The following is a 19881-nucleotide window of genomic DNA, read 5'->3' as shown; positions in this document are numbered from 1 at the left end:
CCTCACTCAAATAAGTTTGCATGAAGGGGAAAAACTTGCACTGTGGTTAATGTTAATGCAGAGAAAATATATATGAATGGTGGCTGGGCGCGGTGGCTCACGCCTGCAATCCCAGCACTTTGGGAGGCCGAGGTGGGCAGGTCACGAGGTCAGGAGATCAAGACCATCCTGGCTAACATGGTGAAACCCCGTCTCTACTAAAAATACAAAAAAATTAGCCAGGCGTGGTGGCGGGTGCCTGTAGTTCCAGCTACTTGGGAGGCTGAGGCACAAGGATGGCATGAACCCAGGAGGCAGAGGTTGCCGTGAGCTGAGATAGCACCACTGCATTCCAGCCTGGGTGACAGAGTGAGACTCTGTCTCAAAAAAAAAAAAAAAAAAAAAAAAAAAAAATATATATATATATATGAATGGTGATGCTAGGCTATCCCAGAATCTCTGACACTTTAGAATTGAAAAAATCTTGGGGTCATAGTTGAACCTGTTCAGCTACGAATATGAAAACAGGTCAGGAGAGGTTAGTGTGTTGTATCCAAGCTCACGGTGCAAATTCTTGGCAGTTCCGAGACTAGAATGCAGACTTCCTGACTCTCAAGGCTAAGTTCTTCCCATCACATGCGTTGATGCCTGTGAGGCCGACTTCTAGGATGGACACTCACACAACCCCACACATACGTACCCATCTGTTCAGGCCTTTCTTTTATACTTGTGTTTGTGGCTTCTAATATATACATCAGCATATTTGTGATATTGTGATAGAATAAGAAATGTATATTTGGTTTTTGTTCCTGGCTCCTGGCACAGACCTCCTAAAACCTTTGGGATTTTCTGGGTGGTAGGTAGGGGTGAGAGGAGCATCTTTTGTTATTCATAAGCCCCTTCCAACCATACCTGAGTTTATGCTAAGGCGGTAGCTCTTAGAGGATGGGGGATGGTTGCCATAGGAACCAACTATGTGATTAAAGGTTTGGAACTTTGAGCCCCTCACTCCTCCTATGAGGAGGAGAGAGGGGCTAGAGATTGAGTTCAATAACCAATTGCCCATGATTCAATCAATCATGCCTATATAATGAAGCCTCCATAACAATCATAAACAACAGGCTGTGAAGAGCTCCTGGGTTGCTGAACAAATGGAGTTGCTGCAAGGATGCCATGCCTGGAGAGGGCCTGGAAGCCCTGTGCCACACCCCCATGCCTTGCCCTATGTACATTTTCATCTGCATCATTGGCAACATCCTTTATAATAAACCAGTAAAAGTAAGTAAATGTTTTCCAGAGTCTTGTGAGCCATTATAGCGAATTATCAAACCTGAAGAGTAGCTTGTGGGAAGTCCCAATTTATACTACAGGTGACAACTTGGTACTTTTGACAGGCATCTGAAGGTGGGGCAGCAGTCTTGTGGGGTATGCATTAACTCCGGATAGTTAGTGTCATAGTTTACTTGTAGGTCATCCAGTTTGTGTCTGGAGAGTTGGAGAATTGCTAAATGTGAGGATAAACTCCATACATTTGGTGTCATAAGTGTTGCATGAGTAGAAAAAAGTTTTTCTCTAGAATACTAAAGTCGGGGTTCTCCAGAATAACAGAAGCAATAGGATATGGAGATACATACATAATTAGGTATATTATAAGGAATTGCTCTCATGATTATAGAGACTAAGAATTCCCACTATCTACCATCTGTGAGCTGAAGACCCAGGGAGCTGATGGTAAAATTCTGAGTCCTGAGCCCTGAGAGCCTGAGAGCTGATGATGTGTGGATTCCTGTTCAAGTCTGAAGGCCTGAGAAACAGGAGTGCTGAGGGTGGGCATGAGCCACTGCGCCCAGCCCATAGTTTTTTTTTTTTTTTTTTTTTTTTGAGGTGGGATCTTGCTCTGTCACCTAGGCTGAAGTGCAGTGGCAATCACAGCTCACTGCAGCCTTGAACGCTTGGGCTCAGGAGATCTTCCTGCCTCAGCCTCCGAGATAGCTAGGGCTACAGGCATCTACCACCACGCCTGCCTGATTTTTAAAATTTTTATTTTATTTTTTATGAACAGGGTCTCCCTATGTTGCCCAGGCTGGCCTCGACTTCTTGGGCTCAAGTGACCCTCCTAGCCTCAGCCTCCCGAGTTTCTGGGATTACAGGCACAAGCCACTGATCCTGGCTAATTTTAGATTTTGAGTGGGATGGATGGGGACTGAATCATCAGCATGGAAAATGAAGGTGGGATTCAGTGGTGAGAGCTTCTGGAAGAAAAAAAAGGGGTGAGAAATTTAAACTCATCTTCTTGTTATTTTTACGCATTAAACAAGTCAACACATTTAATCTTTACCAACATTCCAAATAAGGAAAAATCAAATCATTGTCCAAGGTCATACACTAGTTAAAATCATAAAATAAAACTTAACCTAACCATGGATGAGTTCTTTTTGGAATTCAGAATGCTGTCTAGAATACATTTATTCCCCTGGCAAAGTTCTCCCTTATAAAATTGCCTTTTAACTCTTTTTCATATCTCATTTCATAGCCTTCTTAATATAAGTAGTTTGCAGTTAATAGCAACCTTTGTTTAAGAAAACCAATACCCCTATACTATAATGCATTCAATGCATTCATACATACATTCACTCATCCATTCAAAACATTTCATGAGCAGTTACTTAGTGCTCATGAGTTTTTTTGTCTTGTTTTGTTTTGTTTTTGAGATGGAGTCTTGCTCTATCTCCCAGGCTGGAGTGCAGTGGTGGCACAATCTCGGCTCACTACAACCTCCGCCTCCTAGATTCAAGTGATTCTCCTGCCTCAGCCCCCGAGTAGCTGGGATTACAGGCGTGCACCACCACACCTGGCTAATCTTTGTATTTTTAGTAGAGACGGGGTTTTATCATGTTGGCCAGGCTGGTCTCGAACTCCTGACCTCAGATGATCTGCCTGCCTCAGCCTCCCAAAGTGCTGGGATTACAGGTGTGAGCCACCCTGCCCGGCCTGGTGCTCATGAAATGTTTTGAATGGATGAGTTAATGTATTAATATGTGCACTGTGCTAGGTGTTGGGGATTCAGCAATAAACAAGAGATGCAGGATGCTTGTCCTTTTATATGCATGCTTAGTATTTTTATTGCTGCTGCTTCTCTCTTTCTCTTTTATTTTTTTTTTTTTGAGACAGGGTCTCACTCTATCTCCCATGCTTGAATGCAGTGGCGTGAACTCAGCTCACTGTAGCCTTGACCTCCTGGGTTCAAATGATCCTCCTACCTCAGCCTCCCAAGTAGCTAGCTGGGACTTCAGGTGTGTGCCACTACACCCCCCTCATTTTTGTATTTTTTTGTAGGGATGGGGTTTTGCCATGTTGCCCAGGATGGTCTCGAATTGCTGGGCTCAAGTGATCCACCTGCCTCGGCCTCCTAAAGTGCTGGGATTACAGATGTGAGCCACCGTGCCCAGCCTTTACTGCTTCTTTTACTAATAGTGTTGAGAATCTCAATCACACCTAAAAATTCTGCATGAAAGATTCCTATGAGATATTCTAATTATTTACCCAAGATCTACATTCCAGTGTCCTACTAGGAAAGTTGATTTACATTTTACTGGATAAATACAAATGTTTTGCATAAAAATAATGGAAAGACATCTAAAACTGAAAATCTCCTGAGGAGTCTCTGCTTTTAATTTCTTGGTGAGCACATGGATCTCAATAAGGGGATAGTTAGCACTGTTAGCTCAGGATGAGTTTCTGAAAGATACCTGGACCTGTTGCTATGTCTGAATGTGTCCCTCTCAAATGGATATGTTGAAATCTTCACCTCTAAGGTGATGGCATTAGGGGTAGGGCCTTTGGGAGATGATTAGGTCATGGGAACTCCACTTCATGATTAAGATTAGTGCCTGCTATGGTTTGAACATGCCCTCCAAAGTCCATGTGTTAGAAACTTAATCCTCAATGCAACAGTGTTGAGAGGTGGGCCTTTAAGAGGTGAGTAGGTCATGAACGGGAGTGAGTTAGTTATCTCGGGAGTCAGTTCCTGATAAAAAGGATGAATTTGGTCACCTTTCTCTTGGTCTCAAGTGCTTGGTTTCCCTTCTACCTTCTGCCTTCCTCCGCAGGATGATATAGCATGAAGGCCCTCACCAGACGCTGGTGCCATGCTCTTGGACTTCCCAGTCTCCAGAACTGTGAGCCAAATAAACTTCTGTTCTTTATAAATTACCCAGTGTGTGGTATTTTTATTGCAACAGAAAAGGGACTAAGAGTGCCTTTAAAAAAGAGACCCCAGAGAGCTAGCTAGTCTCTTCTGCCATGTGAGGTTACAGTAAAGATGGCTGTCTATGAGGAAGCAAGCCCTCACCTGACCCCAAATCTGTGGAACCTTGTTCTTGCACTTTCCAGGCTTCAGACTGTGATAAACACATTTCTGTTGTTTATAAGCTACTCACTTCATGCAATTTTGTTATGGCAGCCTGAACACACTGAGAGACCTATTTTCTCCAGAGACACTACAACCACTTTAAACCTAAAGAGCAAGAATGGGGAGCCACTAGAATAAAGCTACATTCCAGTATCACTGCTGGGATGTAGAGATGATGGTGGAAAAAGACTTGACAGAGCCCACTGAGGAAGGCAGCCCCACCTCTAATCTCACCCTGGGACTTTAAGACATGAATGAGTTGAGGGCAGATAGGTGACTTGAATTAAATTCCAGGTGACGGTTTTACAGTTGTTGGCACCAGCAGATGGGGATCAGAGGGCCCACGTGTGGAGAGAAGGGTAGAGGGTGGGGGTCTAGGCTAGTTGTATGTTGATAGGGGCCATCGATGGTAGACTCTGGATGAGGCAGAATAGGCGGGAAGAAGGGGGAATGGCACCAGGAAGCATCAGGTTGGCCCCCAAGAGTTGGACCTGCCGTCTCTGAGAGACTGGCTGGCAATAGGTCCTGCTGCAGTGGAGCAGTGGGTCCAGAGGAGGTTATTTTTGCTTTTAATATGAAGGTGGGTCCTTAATCATCAGAACAGGAACTGAGAATGATGGTTAGTGTTTCTGAAAGAAAAAAGAGCCATGGGGGAATGGAATCAACCCTTTTTCACAATTTGTTAGGCAGTTTCACAAATTAACTTATTTGAAACTAGCCTCCACTCTAGATAAGGAAGCCAAGGATCAGAGAAATCACATAATTTGTCCAAGTCACATCCCTGGTATGCAGGCAGAGTAGGGATTTGAACTCAACTGTCTCTGTCTTCAGAGAGTGTGCTTTTTCCAGATCTTGCCTGGAAGACATGATGTTCCTCCTTTCCCTTTGTATCTAGCCCCTACTTTACTCCTCAGCCACTCTCTCGTTTCTTCTGCTTCATGCAATTCATTCTCCTGCCATCTTTTCTTCTTCTTTAACTTGCCATAATTTGCAATAGATATATTTATTAAACAAAATCAATTTTTAAAGTAGACTGGTTGAAAATGTTATAATTTTCTAAAAAACAAGATTCCAATTCCTCTAAAACTAAAGAAGAGTTGTTTTGTACTTATTTATAAAAAGCCTGTAACTCATTTTCTTTTCTTTATGTGTCATTATAATCAAGGGAAACAGTAGGGCCATGAATATATGATCAAAATATTAGAGTTGAGAGATGTAGAAACTGAAACACAAAGAAGCTCAGCGACTTATTTAGAATAAATTGGCTAGTTCCTGAATGATCCAAATAATTGAGAGAAATAGGGAAAATCCTGAGTTAACAAATAAATACAGTTTCAAAAGTGTGTTTGTAAATTAGTTCTCTGGCATTTGGTATATTTCTCTAATAAAAAGAAAATTGATGTGACCTGAGTGTCTCATAGAAAACAGCTGAAACTCATTATTTATATCTAAGAATAGTATAAAAAACTCCCCACAATTATTATGTAGTACTTATAATGAACACAACACAAAGACAATACACTGAGAAAGAAGGACTTTAATTTTTAAATGTGTAAGAAGAGAAAATTTAATTAGAAAGATGAAAGACTTAACTGGCGAATCCGGCAGAGATTCTAAAGATGACATTTGGACACTGATAAAGGCCATTGGGGGATGAATGACAGACACTTGTTTTTAAGAGTGTGAAAGCTGTCCTTATCAAAATGGAGTCAATTGTGTTAAAAAACGAGACAAATCCCTGACAAATGGCTGGGGAAGGCCATGAAGGGAGGGTTCTAATACATAAATGCCTGATAACAAGAACTATTGAAAAATACTGCAAAAACCACAACTTTGGACAAAGGCCATTGCAACCACACACACACACACACACACACACACACACACACACAGAGAGAGAGAGAGAGAGAGAGAGAGAGAGAGAGAAAATGAGAACTTCTGCGGAGACATCTGCCCAGCAACTGCCTGTACAACATTAGACTGGTGCCACTCTAGTTATTGATTACTGTAGCCAAGGATAATTATCTCAAAAACAATGATGTAATCTTCCTTCTTCCTTGAAAAACCTTTGCCTTCCTTTACCTCCCTGAATACGCAAAATAGTTTAATATGGCACACATATTCCCATTGCAATGCCCATTCCCAAATAAACATCATTTTCTTTTAGAAAGTCTCCCTCTCTGTTTGTTATTAGGCTGACAAGAGGTAGTGAAAGAGATTTCCTGAGTGCCTATCATTTATATCACTCAGTAGTTAAGAACATCAGTTGTTCAAAATCCATCAATTAAATACACAATTCAAAGCAGAATCTTTATGTGGCAATCTCTCTTTATTCTAAATAAGTCGCTGAGCTTCTTTGTGTTTTAGTTTCTACATCTCTCAACTCTAATATTGTACCTTCCACTCCAGCCATTTTAGACAGTTCAAATCACACAGACACAAAGAGATACTTTCCTTCTCTTGGTTTTGCAGTTCACTTAACCAGACCACCCTTTCTCCCCTTCATAGTTTGATAAAATATCCTCTCTCAAAAGCCTAATCCAAATGCTATGTCAACCATCTGACAAAATATTAGCTCCTTCCTCTGAAACTAATTGCATTTTGATTGCATTCTAGGCATTTCTTTCCTGATTTATAGTCTCTCATTGTAGTGTTCATATACATGCTTTATCTATAATATTAAGGTGCAAACTCTTAGGTATGGCCTTTCCACAGGTGCTCAGTGTATAGTTGTCAAATACAATTAAATTGTATCAATTTAGGTTTCTGTTCAAGGCTTCTCAGAAATGGCTTCATATCACCTTTGCAAAATAAGTGTTCCCTTCATTTCCATTCCCTAGCCTTTATTTTCTTTATACCACGCATCACACAGGACATATTAGATACTTGTTTATTGTTTGTTTCCTCCACCAGAATGTATGACCTATGAGGGCAAGGCCTTTGTTTCACTTGCCGTGTTTACCCCAGCACCTAGATCTGTGCCTGGTCCAGAGTAGGAGTTGAATAAACTGATATTACTGGAAGTGAAAGAAATGCTACCTGGAGTATTTCAAGACTCTGAGTCCAATAACTCATCGATTTTGTCAGTATTTAGCTGCAGGACATAGAGCAAGTCACTAACCCATGATGAGTCTCATGTCCCTGTAAAATCAATGATTGTTAAATACAGGATCTCTGAGGTCCTGTTTAACTCCATTAATGTGAGAGTAGAAAGTGAGAGAAGCAAACTGAGTTCAAGTGGATATGGGTGAGAAAAAAGAATGCTCTAGGCAAGACTACAGGTCCTGCTTTTGGTGCAGGGCAGAGAGAAAGTAGAAAAGCTGGAGCAACGGAGACAGATGCTCAGAAAAGGGCTGCCTTCAGATATATTAATACCTGTAAAGAAAACCCGGGGGAGGTGCTGACTTGGGGAGAGCCTGAGGCTGAGTAGACAGCTGGGCTGGTGGAGAGGAGGCTCCCAGAGGAAAGGCAACCCGCCAGTGGGGTGGGGGTGATGGGGTTGGCAAGCTCCACAAATTTTGCAATTTTGCCTCCTTTCCCAGAGAACAACCACTCTGTTGTGACTTTGTCAGGGCTGGAATAGGCATGTGGTTCACACGTGAAAGCGAATGAGAAGTTCTATACAAAGAACCACATTTGCTGTCCATTTAATTTATTCTTCCTCATTCTCAAAGAAGACTAGATCCTCATCTCTTACCCTTAACCTCCACGTTGAGAAGCACTTTGCCCTTCCCATTCTAGCATATGTCTAGAACACTGCATCTAGTGTCGCAAACTTGTCCTCTTGCCCCCTCTGCCCTGGCACCTTCCCTCCCCACACCAGTAAGTCTGAGAAGGTCCCTGTGTCTTCTACTTTTCCTTTTCCAGCATATGGAGACAAAAGTGATTATATCCCGGATGCTAATCCGCCATGTTGACCTTTAATAACCCCAGTCCCATGAATACCTCCTGATTCCTAGGATTTTTTTTTTAAACTGTCCTTAGCATAAGAACATGTCAACCTTGATGCTATTGCCCACATTGTAGGCTATGAAGCATACGGCATTCTCACCTGTTCCGGAGGGCTGCCTTTAATTGTCTTGCACAGAGCAGTATACTCTTTCCTTACGGTATATAAGGCCAGGGTCTGGGGAGTAACAGTGCAGAAATTTATCTGCTTGCCGCCGCCCAAGGCCACGCTTCTGTCTACCACATCCTCCAATAGCACCCCTATTACCTACAGACTGGATTTGTCTGTCTCGTTCTTTGGTTTCTTGACTCCTTCGCGTTTGGGGGCTGCTTTGCATATAAAGCCCTTTCACAGAACACAGCACCATGCTAGTACAATACGCTGTAGATTCTCCCTCCCTCCCCCTCTCTCTCATATACTCATATATTTTATGTTGAACCAATATGAGGCATTGCTCAAATTTAAGTCATATTAAAGTTCTAGGCTAGTTTTGAAAACAGAAACTGATTGGAAGCAGAGGTTTTCAAATAGCCCACATACGCTACTAGAAGGCTGTACATTTAAGAGAGGGCCATCTAGGAAGCAATAATAGGCATTAAAACAACAACAAAACAACAAAACAAAACAGAAACAAAAACAACTTGGGAAACGGCCCTCCTTTCACGTTTTTTCTATCCCATCGACAAAGGCGCGCTGTCCTTAGCTGCGATGATTTTGTCTCGCCTCCAAAAAGACGCCCACGCACTATGTTGAGCACCCAAGTGAGGCTACGGTTCCTGCGGTCACAGAGGGCAGGGAGGCTCAAGCACCTCCAAAACCCCGAGCCCTGGACAGCTCCCCAGGCCCTTCCCGCGGCGCGAGGACAAGAGGTCTCCGGGGCCCTCGGGGGAGCGGCGCCTCCTCCTGGTTCCAGCAGCTCTGCGGCCGCTCCCCACCCAGGCCCGCGAGACCAGCGGGACAGTCCGCGCCGCGGGAGACCAACTGGGACGAGCCGCGACCCACGCAGGCGCGCTGAGGCCGGGGCAGGGGCGGGCCCGGCTGGCGCGGCCGGCCTGCGGTTGGGGCCCTGGCGGGGGTGGGACGGGCCAAGCCGGGCAGGGCCGGGGTGGGGCCGCTGGCGTTTCCGTTGCTTGGATCAGTCTAGGTGCAGCTGCCGGATCCTTCAGCGTCTGCATCTCGGCGTCGCCCCGCGTACCGTCGCCCGGCTCTCCGCCGCTCTCCCGGGGTTTCGGGGCACTTGGGTCCCACAGTCTGGGTGAGTGGTCGCAGCCCGGGGAGGGGGCTCCTTCTGGAGAGGAGAGCGTGGTCGCGGGGCACTGGATTCGCGCGGACGCTCGGCCGAGAGCTGTCCCGGTAGCTGCGAGAGGGCGGGTCGGCCCCGTGGCGGGGCCCTCCGGGCTGTCTGAGCGCCGCCGGGTCCCCGCGGACCTGCGCTTGGGGAGGGCACGAGTTGCAAATGGCGCGCTAAGCCCGAGGTTTCTTCTCTTTTGCAGTCCTGCTTCACCTTCCCCTGACCTGAGTAGTCGCCATGGCACAGGTAAGGCCGTGCGCCCCCCACTGCGCTGGATTTACCCACAACTTTGTATGCTGCGACGAGGGACTTTTAGGATTTGTCTGAGAGCCAAAAAGTTTAGGAGGAAAGGGAACCTGCTTTGGGGACATCGCTTCCACTTTTCTTGTTCCCCCTTTGCTTCCCTGCCCCCGTTTCTGTGTCCCGGTTCTTCCCGCTGAGCGCCCTCCGGAACCAGCACCGACGCCGCCAAGCTGCCTTCGCGCGCAACAGCTGGTGACGTGGCCGGATTTGTGTGCGCTCCCTTTTCATGAGTGAATGTGTAAAAGTGGGCCTTCCCCAAAATCCAGAGAGTAGCTCAAATTAGAACCGGAGCAAGAACAGCTCATCGTGGTCATGTGAGGCGAACGCATTCCCCCCCCACCCCGCCCCCCGACTTCCTTTATTTTTTTTCCGCAAAGTTTTCTGTATTTTAATACTGTGATTGAGCATTGGCTTTTTCCAGTTGCTCAGCCCAGTTTTACTAAAACTGTAGGACGTAGGCTCTGATTTTTTTTTTAATCCAAAAGATTAAACACAAGCGCTGTTTTTCTTAAGCAATGAACTCGTGGAACGAGTTCTCAATTGAATTTGCCTTGGGACTGTTTCAGAAATTGATAATCTACTACAGGCTTTCTTTACTGTTTTTTTTTTTTCCTTTTTTTTTGAGACGGAGTCTCACTCTGTCGCCCAGGCTGGAGTCCAGTGACGTAGTGATCTCGCTCACTACAACCTCTGCCTCCCGGGTTCAAGCAATTCTCGTGTCTCAGCTTTCCAAGTAGCTGGGATTACAGGCGCCCCACCATGCCCAGCTAATTTTGTATTTTTAGTAGAGGCGGGGTTTCACCATGTTGGCCAGGCTGGTCTCAAACTCCTTGCCTCAAGTGATCCTCCCGCCTCGGCCTCAGGACTGTAATCCCACTGCGCCTGGTTTCTTTACTGTTATTAATGTTTATCAAAAATGTAGGAAAGAGAAGATAGTTTAAGGTCTTTAAATATTGACCATGTTATACAGTCTTTTGTGAATAAGATACCAGGGCTTAAAAACTCTAAAACTGATTTCACAGATCTTGTCAATCTAACCGGCTTGTCAGAGTCCAGATAGTTTTTTTTAAACAAGTGTTTTAACTGCTAAAACAATGCTGTCTCTTATTTATAGTTCACTTTTTATCAGATTGACTTATCAAAATTGAAAAAGGTTTCTTGGTCCTTTCCAAGTGAAAATGGGAGGATTAAGATTAGTTGATTACTTTATGAAACTTACACAGTGATCCCATTCTTACCTCCTCTTTTGCACTTAAATGTTACAGTAAACCAATTCTCATATTACTTCAAGTGGAAAGTTTGGTTTAAGTTCTTCTCCATAGAAAGGATACTTTTATGTGGAATTAACTTTCCTGAGTAATATTTTTCCTATCTTGATATGCTGGTGTGGTGATGTACATGAAGATTTAACAAGCATCGAATAATAATTCCCTCTATCTTTGCTCATTTAGCAGTTTCTTGAATCTCTTGTAAGTTCCCCAGTGATGTCTGAGGGTCCATCAATTCCTTTTCATTATGTAGACTGTTTACCCAAATAGTATAAGCGAACATATTTTCCAGTTGTGGACATTAATTTTAATAATTTCAAAGAATGATTAGTATCATAAAGGCCATGTGTATAGAAAACCTAGGAGAATGGTGGTTTGCATATAAAATTATGTACCTGAGCCCTATGACAATATAACACCAAGACTGTTTTCTATCAAAACTACAGTTTTTACTAATCATAAAAGTTACAAGTAATGTTTTAAAAAAGATACAGAGTGTTAAATTTTGTTCTAGTTTTGTTACTATTTTTGGAAATCATGAAAGTAAAACATTTTGTTAAAATATTTAGTATTGGCCAGGCATGGTGGCTCATGCCTGTAATCCTAGCACTTTGGGAGGCTGAGGCACGTGGATCACGAGGTCAGGAGTTCGAGACCAGCCTAACCAACATGGTGAGACCTCGTCTCTTCTAAAAATACAAAAATTAGCTGGGCATGGTGGTGCACAACTGTAATCCCAGCTACTCGGGAGGCTGAGGCAGGAGAATCACTTGAACCCGGGAGGCGGAGGTTGCAGTGAGCTGAGATCGCGCTGCTGCACTCCAGCCTGGGCAACAGTGAGACTACGTCTCAAAAAAAAAGTTTAGTATTAAAGTTGGGTGCGGCGTCTGAGCAGTAAGAATGTCATGAAGGCAAAACTAGGCTACGTAATTGTTCATTAGAAGCTTCATGAACATCAGAATTTTTTTGTTTATTTTTTATTTATTTTTTATTATATATATATTTTTATTATACTTTAAGTTCTAGGGTATGTGTGCACAACATGCAGGTTTGTTACATATGTATACATGGTGCCATGTTGGTGTGCTGCACCCATTAACTCAATATTTACATTAGCTGTATCTCCTAATGCTATCCCTCCCCCCTCCCCCCCGCCCACAATAGGCCCCGGTGTGGGTGTGTGATGTTCCCCTTTCTGTGTCCAAGTGTTCTCATGAACATCAGAATTATCTCTATGGTATATGTTTAAGTTACAAGGTTTGATCAGAAATATTTTCGGTTGGTTTAAAATTATTATAATAATTTAAAAAAGCCCTGTGCCGAGCAAGCAGGATAAATGTAAATAAATAAATTTGAGATGAAACTCCTTCCAGAGGAGCTGACTGGATATTGATTGCATCTTTTCATGCCATTCATTTTTTAAAGTCAAGTCTCTCTGGAGCTAATGTTCACTTTTGGGATCTTAGATCAGGGTTACCTGTTTACCCGTGGCCTGTGCTGCTCCTGGTGATTTCTCTTGGTTCCTTATCTGTTTAACTCTTAAGTTCATTTTGGCTGCTGAGAAAGAACTAGATCAAAAACTACTTGGCTGCTTTGCAAGCCACTGAGCAATTCATTGGCATTCAGCAAACCCTGATTTCCTTATCTAATATCCAGTTCTCCTTGGAAGGCCTACATAGGTGATCAGGCTAGTTACAGGCAGGCAGTCCGGCTTTCTTCTTTTAATGACTTAGAAGTTCAAAATGGTAAAAATATAACAGTGCTTTTACAGCATAGATTCATTCCTGAAATACATTTTATTCATATAACCTTCATACTATTCTAAAATTTCACAAATGCATCTGTTTTTTAAAAATTAGGGCTCCTAAGACCTTTGCTTTAAGTGCTTCTTAGACGCAGTCTTTCAGTTTAGTTAGTTTACATAATATGTAAACATATCATCAATTGATTAATTGCAAGGAATTATACTCCTGGCTTCATTTCTTTGGACACTAGTTTTTTGGGTTTTTTTTTTTCTCCCCCGAGATGGAGTCTCGCTTTGTTGTCCAGGCTGGAGTGCCGTGGCGTGATCTCAGCTCACTGCAACCTCTGCTTCCTGGGTTCAACTGATTCTCTTCCCTCAGCCTCCGGAGTAGCTGGGATTAGAGGCATGTGCCACCACGCCTGGCTAATTTTTGTATTTTTAGTAGAGACGGAGTTTCGCCATGTTGGCCAGGCTAGTCTCGAACTCCTAACCTCAAGTGATCCGTGTGCCTCGGCCTCCCAAAGTGCTGGGATTACAGGCATGAGCCACTGCGCCTGGTGGGACACTAGTTCTTAACTGTTCTCTTTTTCATCCATGCATGCATTCATGAATGCATGAGGCTTTTGCATTTTCACTATGTGCCAAGTATTGTTAAACATGAGCGCAATGGGAAATGGATCTAAGATTTATTGATATAATAGATGCATTGCCAAGTCTTTTGTGTGCATTATTTAGTCCTCATAACACAGTTTTGGAAATAGGTATTACTATTTTTGTTTCACAGAAGGGGAAATTGAGGTTACTTAGCTGGCATTCTTTGTATGGGACAAAGGAGGGAAGCCATCATACAGAGAGGTAACAACAGCAAATAAATACTTAGGGGTGTAAAAGAGTTTGGCATGATGGAGTGAAACTGCAGTGAGGTGGGGAAATCAAGCCTTGTCTTGGAAGGGATAGAACTTTTCAAGTGTTATTCATGGAATGCCCAATGGAACAATTTGGTAAAAGAGCATACTCTCCTCTGACCTTCAATGTGAACTCATGGGAGGCCAATGCCACCTGCTCACTTTAACTCACTCAAGACATCACTGGAGTTATTCTTGGGCAACTTGAGCACACAATTTAACTTTCCATTTTATTGGTGTTTGTCAAGGGAAGTCATTCTTACACTGGTAAAGAGACACAACATTAAACACAGAGCATTAAAGAAATACACAACAAAAATTTAAATCATTTTACAAATCTTCACTTTGTTATCAAAACCTTCTTTTCTACCACGATGCAAACAACTTAGTCTGTTCTCCAGTGATGTTTTTTTTCCCTTGCATTTGATTTTAAGAAACAGGTCAAAGGTGGTAGGATGGATAGACAAATGGAAAGAAGCAAAAACAAGTAAGATGGAGCATGAAAAGGAAAGGAAATTACACAAAAGTAAGCAATAGGCCAGTTCGAGTTTAACGCTTTGAACTATATCATTCACTTTTTCTGAGTTGGGATTAGAGCAAGGGTTAGGATTGGGGGTTGAGAGCATGTCTCTGACCTCTGATGTGTTTGTACTCCTCAGTCTTCTTGGAGGTCCTAATTTTTTCCCTGATAATTATTTTGCTTTACAGCTCAAAGCATAATCAGGTCACACTGACATTTCCCTCTTTTATGCCCTTCTTATTTTTTTCTTAGTACAGTGATAAATAATTTATTTTCTCATTAGCGGGAACCATTATTGCAGGAAATATTAACGGGCCTCTAATACGTACATAAGGTAGGGCCCTAGTGTATGTACATGGAGTGGGGAGGCAATTGTCTTCCCAGCTTACTGTTTTTTGGAGTGGCTCCAAGGTCTTTGGAAACCTGCCTCAGAAGAACCACCCTTAAAAATCACTGCATAGCGGCTTAGCAGTTGCTCAGCTTGTGGTTTGCTTCATGATTTCCAGCTCCTAGTTAATATTACGTGGAATGCTGGAGGTGGGGGGAGGGTGCGGTATTTGAGTAAATATTGATTATATGGAACTGGAGAACAAAGAGAGTTTAGTCCTTTTCTGTGTCTTCAGGAAGGCTTTATTTAAAATGTTCCAGACAGGTGAATACTTTCTCATCTTTAAACTTGAAATTGTTATTTATGTCTAAGTTCTGTGTCTAGAAAAGCTACCCTTCCCTTGTTGTTTGGTTGGTCTTATTCATTTTTTTTTTGGCATACCTAGTCCTTGCGGGTAAAGAACTTTTTCATTTAGAGAAAAAAAAAGCCAACAAAATTATAGACCTAAAGAATGGATATTTTTGAAGGTGAGAATTAAAAGAGTGAATTGTATATTTTGGCCAAGTATTATCTAAGAATATATTATAATTATCTTCGTAAGGCATTGGTGGTAGCAGATAAAGGGAATTGAGGATGAACTGAGGATGGGTGAATGGGTGAGGGAACAGTACCTACTTAAGAGTTGGCATTAATCTGGGTAAAGTGTGGGGACTCCAGGAAACAGGGGAAGCCCTCTTGAATGAGTCATTTAAAGTCACATTTGCAGACAGTTTTGGGTGGGCAGTGATGGGGTTTGCACAGGATGTCCAAACAAGGGTTCTGCCCTTCTTACTCATTTCTCTGATTCACATCTGGTCTCTTAATACCGCTACGTGGCTTTGCTATCCTTAGTGGATGACTCTGACTGTATGGAATGTAGCAAAAGTGTTTCACAATTTCTAGAAAGCTCTCAAAAAGAGGACTAGCAGTTGTTTCTTCATGCTTAGTAGGTGAGATTTTTAAGATGCTTTTCTTCCATTCATCTTTCACCTAATTTCCTTCAGTCTCTGGTGTCAGATATCTTTTTTCTTTAGGCAAATCCCTCATGTCTCTTCTGTTTCTAACCTCTCCCTGTTTTTCACCTCTCTGTCTCTCCAGAAGTTTCTTCATAGCCTACAAACCTTATCAAGCCTTTTTTTTTCTCTTAACTGTGTTTTTAAAAGCCTGCTTTGCAAACTGTTGTTTCATTGAGACCGTCTTTCCCTCAATTCATTCCTGAGTGTCCTATAGCCAGACTGTTAAACACCACCAAAGATCTCCTAGTTACCAAATCCAGTGGACCCTTTCACTCTTAGCTCTTCCTTGACTTCCTGTGGTATTGGACACTGCCTCCTCTTTCTTTCCTCTTGGAACATTTGCCTCCTTCAGCTTCCATGCCATCACCCTCCTTGGATTTTCTTCTTGCCTTTAGGAGTACAGTGTAGCTTCATGGGTAAGAGCCCAGGAGCCAAGGTCCTGTGGCTTCAAGTCCCATCTCTGCTACTTGCTTGTTTGATGGTCATTTGGGTGACTCACTTGCTAAAACCTTTCTGAGCCAGTATGTTTCTTTGTCTGTAAGATGGGATTTCCCTGAGATGATCTATGTGAAGCTCTGTGCACGGTGCCTGGTGCATTGCTGCACTCAGCAGATACTAGCTGCCACTCTGATTGTAGGTCACCTTCCCTTTCCTTCTCCTCTGGCTCTTTCCACCCCATTAATATTGTCTTGCGTGGTGGCCCCCTCCAGCTACTACCGGCGTATGCTGACAACTCACCAAGCCTACTATGGAGAAATGCAAAGTCAGCCATCCTCTTTCTCATCCAAAAAACAGAATCACCCTAAGTAGTTCCTGTCTACCTGGGGCCTGTTTCTGTCCCTGCCTTTGTTTAGGTCTTCCTTTCCTTCTTTGTGTTGTTAGTTTCTAAGCAGTCTTCTTGTCACTCTTGCACAGTCGGTTCCATCTTGCTGTGCAGAGTTGACATTGTTCTTCCCTGCCTGAGTGTCCTCCAGTGGCTTCCTGTTGCCTACAGGATGAGGTCTGCACATTTTAGCATGGCTTTTGTGCCCTTCCCCTCCCTTCACTGTGACCTTTCCCTTGTTTTTGTTTCAACCTTACTGCTTGTTCCAGTCTGCTGAAATACTTAACTCTTTAGCCAAAGTACCAAGATTGGCCTGGCAAATTCACAGGCAACTTTCAAGACTGTTTGGAATTTTTTTCCGAATTTTTTCTCTTTTCACACTTCCCAATATAGTCCTCTCAAATGTGCTCACATTGCCCTAATCCAGCCTCTGTGTGTACATATTCTACTGCACTTGATTAGTTATATGCCTGTCATTTCACACTTAACTTGAGGGATCCTGACTTTTAACTAGTAGTTAGTATAATACTTTGGACGGGGGAGACATTCAAAAGATGGTGAGTCAATGAGTAAAAAGACAGATGGACTGCAAGGGGCATTCAGTCCTAAGTTCTCACATTAAGAAAACTTGTAGAGTTTATTCATTTTTACAATGATACTGATCAATTTGAAGTGGTCTCATTAAAGAGAAGCTGTAACTTGATCTGAGAGAAAGAACTTTCCTAACACAGGCTAATTTTGAGCATCATCTTCTCAAATCTTATCAATTTCTCTTCTAAACTATAACTCCTTTTATGAAGTTGTCAGTATTCAACCATTCAGTTTCATATGGATTAAGGTATCGAATGAATGGCAGGGAATCTATTGGTCTTTATGTATCTGTGCTCCTTAGATGGGGTGGAAATGGAGACTAGCCTGGCTGTGGGTGGATTTCCCTCTTGGTGGAATGAACAGCTCTGGCTTAGTTTCATAACCTCTCCACGAGACAAGTGGGAGAGAGGCTCCCCTTCCCCTTTTCCTAGTTGGCCACAGTCCCTTGTTTAGCTGAGGCACAGAGGGAGTGAAAGCTGCTGCCAGTGGTGCTTTCAACAACCTGGGGCTGGGACATCAACCTGGAAACACCTCTTTTTCTCTTGAATTATATTCTTTTGGCCTCATGATCATACCACTTGACTTAGGAGTTAAGGTCGTGTGGGGCTTCATGAGGTCAGGTTTTCTGATAAGTTCTCTCATAGCTGACCCTGTTCCGAGGAAAGAACAGTGTGTCTTCTCTTCTTGAACAAGGGTAAGGACTACAGTTGAAGAAAAAGTTATTCTGGTGGTAAGGAAGACCTCAGTCAAGAATACTACAATGTAAGTCATGACTGTTATCACAGGGGAGAGAGATTAGGTTCAACTCTGAATACAGTGAAGACAATTGGGGATTTATAGCTAACAAGCAGAGTGAGGTCAGTGCATGGAAAGTTACTAACAGGAAACATCAAGTTAGGGGGACTCGTGCTAAACTGACTTAATAGGATTCTTGCTGAAGGCAGGCCAGGATGATCAGATGTTGGGGGAGGGGATGAGGAAATTGATCAGATATAGAGGGTGCCTTAGTTCATTGGGCTGCTGTAACAGAATACTATAGACTGGGTGGCTTATAAAGAAGGAAATTCATTTCTCAAAGTTTTGGTGACTGGAAGTCTCAGGGTGCCAGCATGGTTGGGTGTGGTGAGGGCTCTCTTCTAGACATTATTGTAGCCTAACGTGACAGAGCAGAGAGAGGCAAGCTGTCTCTGGATTCTTACAAGGATGCTGATCTCATTTTGGGGGCCCTGCTTTCATGACTTCATCTAATTCTAATTATCTCGCAAAGGCTCTACCTCCTATTTACCGTCATGTGGTGGGGTAGGGTTTCAACATATGAATTTTGAGGGGACACAGATATTCGGTTCATAACAGAGGGTGATCAGATACCAAAAGTAGGGGTATCCTCCTTAAACTGACTTAGCAAGCTTCTTGCTAGGCAGGCAAAGGAGGCCCAATGACAAGGACTAGTTGAGAAGAGGGCTCAGGGGAGCCTCTTCAAAGTGTGGTCAAAGGGAGAGTCTTTGTCACTATCTCCTGGATCCATGAGTGCCACTTTTTCAGGAAGCCTAATTTAGTGCCACTAAAGAGAGAAGGCCACTGAACTGACCTTTGACACTATGCCCTGGGGAAGTTCTTCACCATGGCTATCTCTCTCTGTTGTCATCTTTTAAAATTTGATTAGTATTATGTTATTGTTGGCATAGCAACAATTGGAGGCTAAGATGGAAAAGAAACTTTCCTCCTTTTTGGTGACTGTGCTTTTGTGCATTTATAATAAGACATGTAAGATTGTAAACGAGGCTAGCTTTACAGTCCTTTTAGCTGTTTGTTTCTCAGTTTAGATGGTACCTAAGCAGGAGTTTTGAGGGAATGTAAAAACATTTATTGGTAAAGTAAATTCTGGGAGCCTCCATTTAGCGTAAGATAAACATTTATGGCTCAGTATTAATAAAGCCTTATGACTCTCAGGATCTAATGATATCACTAACTTTTTTTTTTTTTTTTTTGTGAGACAGAGTCTCGCTCTGTCACCTTGGCTGGAGTGCAGTGGCGCGATCTTGGCTCACTGCAAGCTCCGCCTCCCAGGTTCACACCATTCTCCTGCCTCAGCCTCCCAAGCAGCTGGGACTACAGGCGCCTGCCACCACACCCGGTTAATTTTTTTAGTAGAGATGGGGTTTCAACGTGTTAGCCAGGATGGTCTCGGATCTCCTGACCTTGTGATCCGCCTGCCTCAGCCTCCCAAAGTGTTGGGATTACAGGCGTGAGCCACTGCGCCCAGCCGATATCACTAATTTTTTTTGAAATACGAAGATATTTTGGTTATTAAAAGCAGTGTATATATATGATAAAGTAATGTGTAACAGGAAGCTTTATGAAGAATGTCTTCCAATACACCTTTATAAAGTTCTAAATTCAAAGATTTGTATTCCTCTGGCACGTGAACGATCATTTCAGGCTTTGCTGGGTTATCGTAAAGTCCCTAAGTATGTATACAGAAACAGGACTTAGATCAAAAGGCACGTAACAAGAGCACTGCTTAAAATTGAGTACTCAGGATAGGGTATTAAGATTTAGTGCGGGCTCAGTATGCTTGTAGATCAAAATGGTGTGAGACTTAATGGGAAGGGAACCTGCAAAGATGTGCCCTCTGTGAACCAGGAGGTGTTGGTGGGGTTTCGTCACAGAGAAGAGGGAGCCAGCCTTCCCACTGATGGTATTACAGGTGATCA

At 43.0% G+C, this 19881-nt stretch overlaps 1 protein-coding gene across 2 annotated transcripts in view, besides 3 other annotated features; it reads left to right on the top strand.

The window, feature by feature from the left end:
- Positions 9109–9528: a silencer, noted in NCBI's record as "silent region_15659". NCBI's record gives its function as "represses an Ori minimal core promoter by ATAC-STARR-seq in GM12878 lymphoblastoid cells {active_cell/tissue: GM12878}" and the evidence as "EXISTENCE:reporter gene assay evidence [ECO:0000049][PMID:35858748]".
- The window catches only part of ANXA5 (annexin A5), a 29035-nt gene continuing 18630 nt past the window's right edge, over positions 9477–19881 (top strand). For both annotated transcript variants that reach the window (NM_001154.4, XM_017008141.3), the window contains exons 1-2: positions 9477–9594; positions 9833–9876. In NM_001154.4, coding sequence (NP_001145.1) covers positions 9868–9876 — 9 coding nt within the window. In that variant the 5' untranslated portion in view covers positions 9477–9594; positions 9833–9867. The remainder of the gene's footprint in view (positions 9595–9832; positions 9877–19881) is intronic.
- Positions 14868–16067: an enhancer, noted in NCBI's record as "P300/CBP strongly-dependent group 1 enhancer chr4:122611545-122612744 (GRCh37/hg19 assembly coordinates)". NCBI's record gives its function as "activates an origin of replication core promoter dependent on BRD2, BRD4, P300/CBP, MED14 and CDK7 cofactors, with strong dependence on P300/CBP, by STARR-seq in HCT116 cells {active_cell/tissue: HCT116}" and the evidence as "EXISTENCE:reporter gene assay evidence [ECO:0000049][PMID:35650434]".
- Positions 15594–15663: an enhancer, noted in NCBI's record as "active region_21866". NCBI's record gives its function as "activates an Ori minimal core promoter by ATAC-STARR-seq in GM12878 lymphoblastoid cells {active_cell/tissue: GM12878}" and the evidence as "EXISTENCE:reporter gene assay evidence [ECO:0000049][PMID:35858748]".

This window comes from Homo sapiens, chromosome 4 (assembly GCF_000001405.40).
Source record: "Homo sapiens chromosome 4, GRCh38.p14 Primary Assembly".
NCBI lineage: Eukaryota > Metazoa > Chordata > Mammalia > Primates > Hominidae > Homo > Homo sapiens.
Note: the sequence above shows the minus strand (reverse complement) of the source record. Positions and strands in the feature narration are given on the sequence as shown.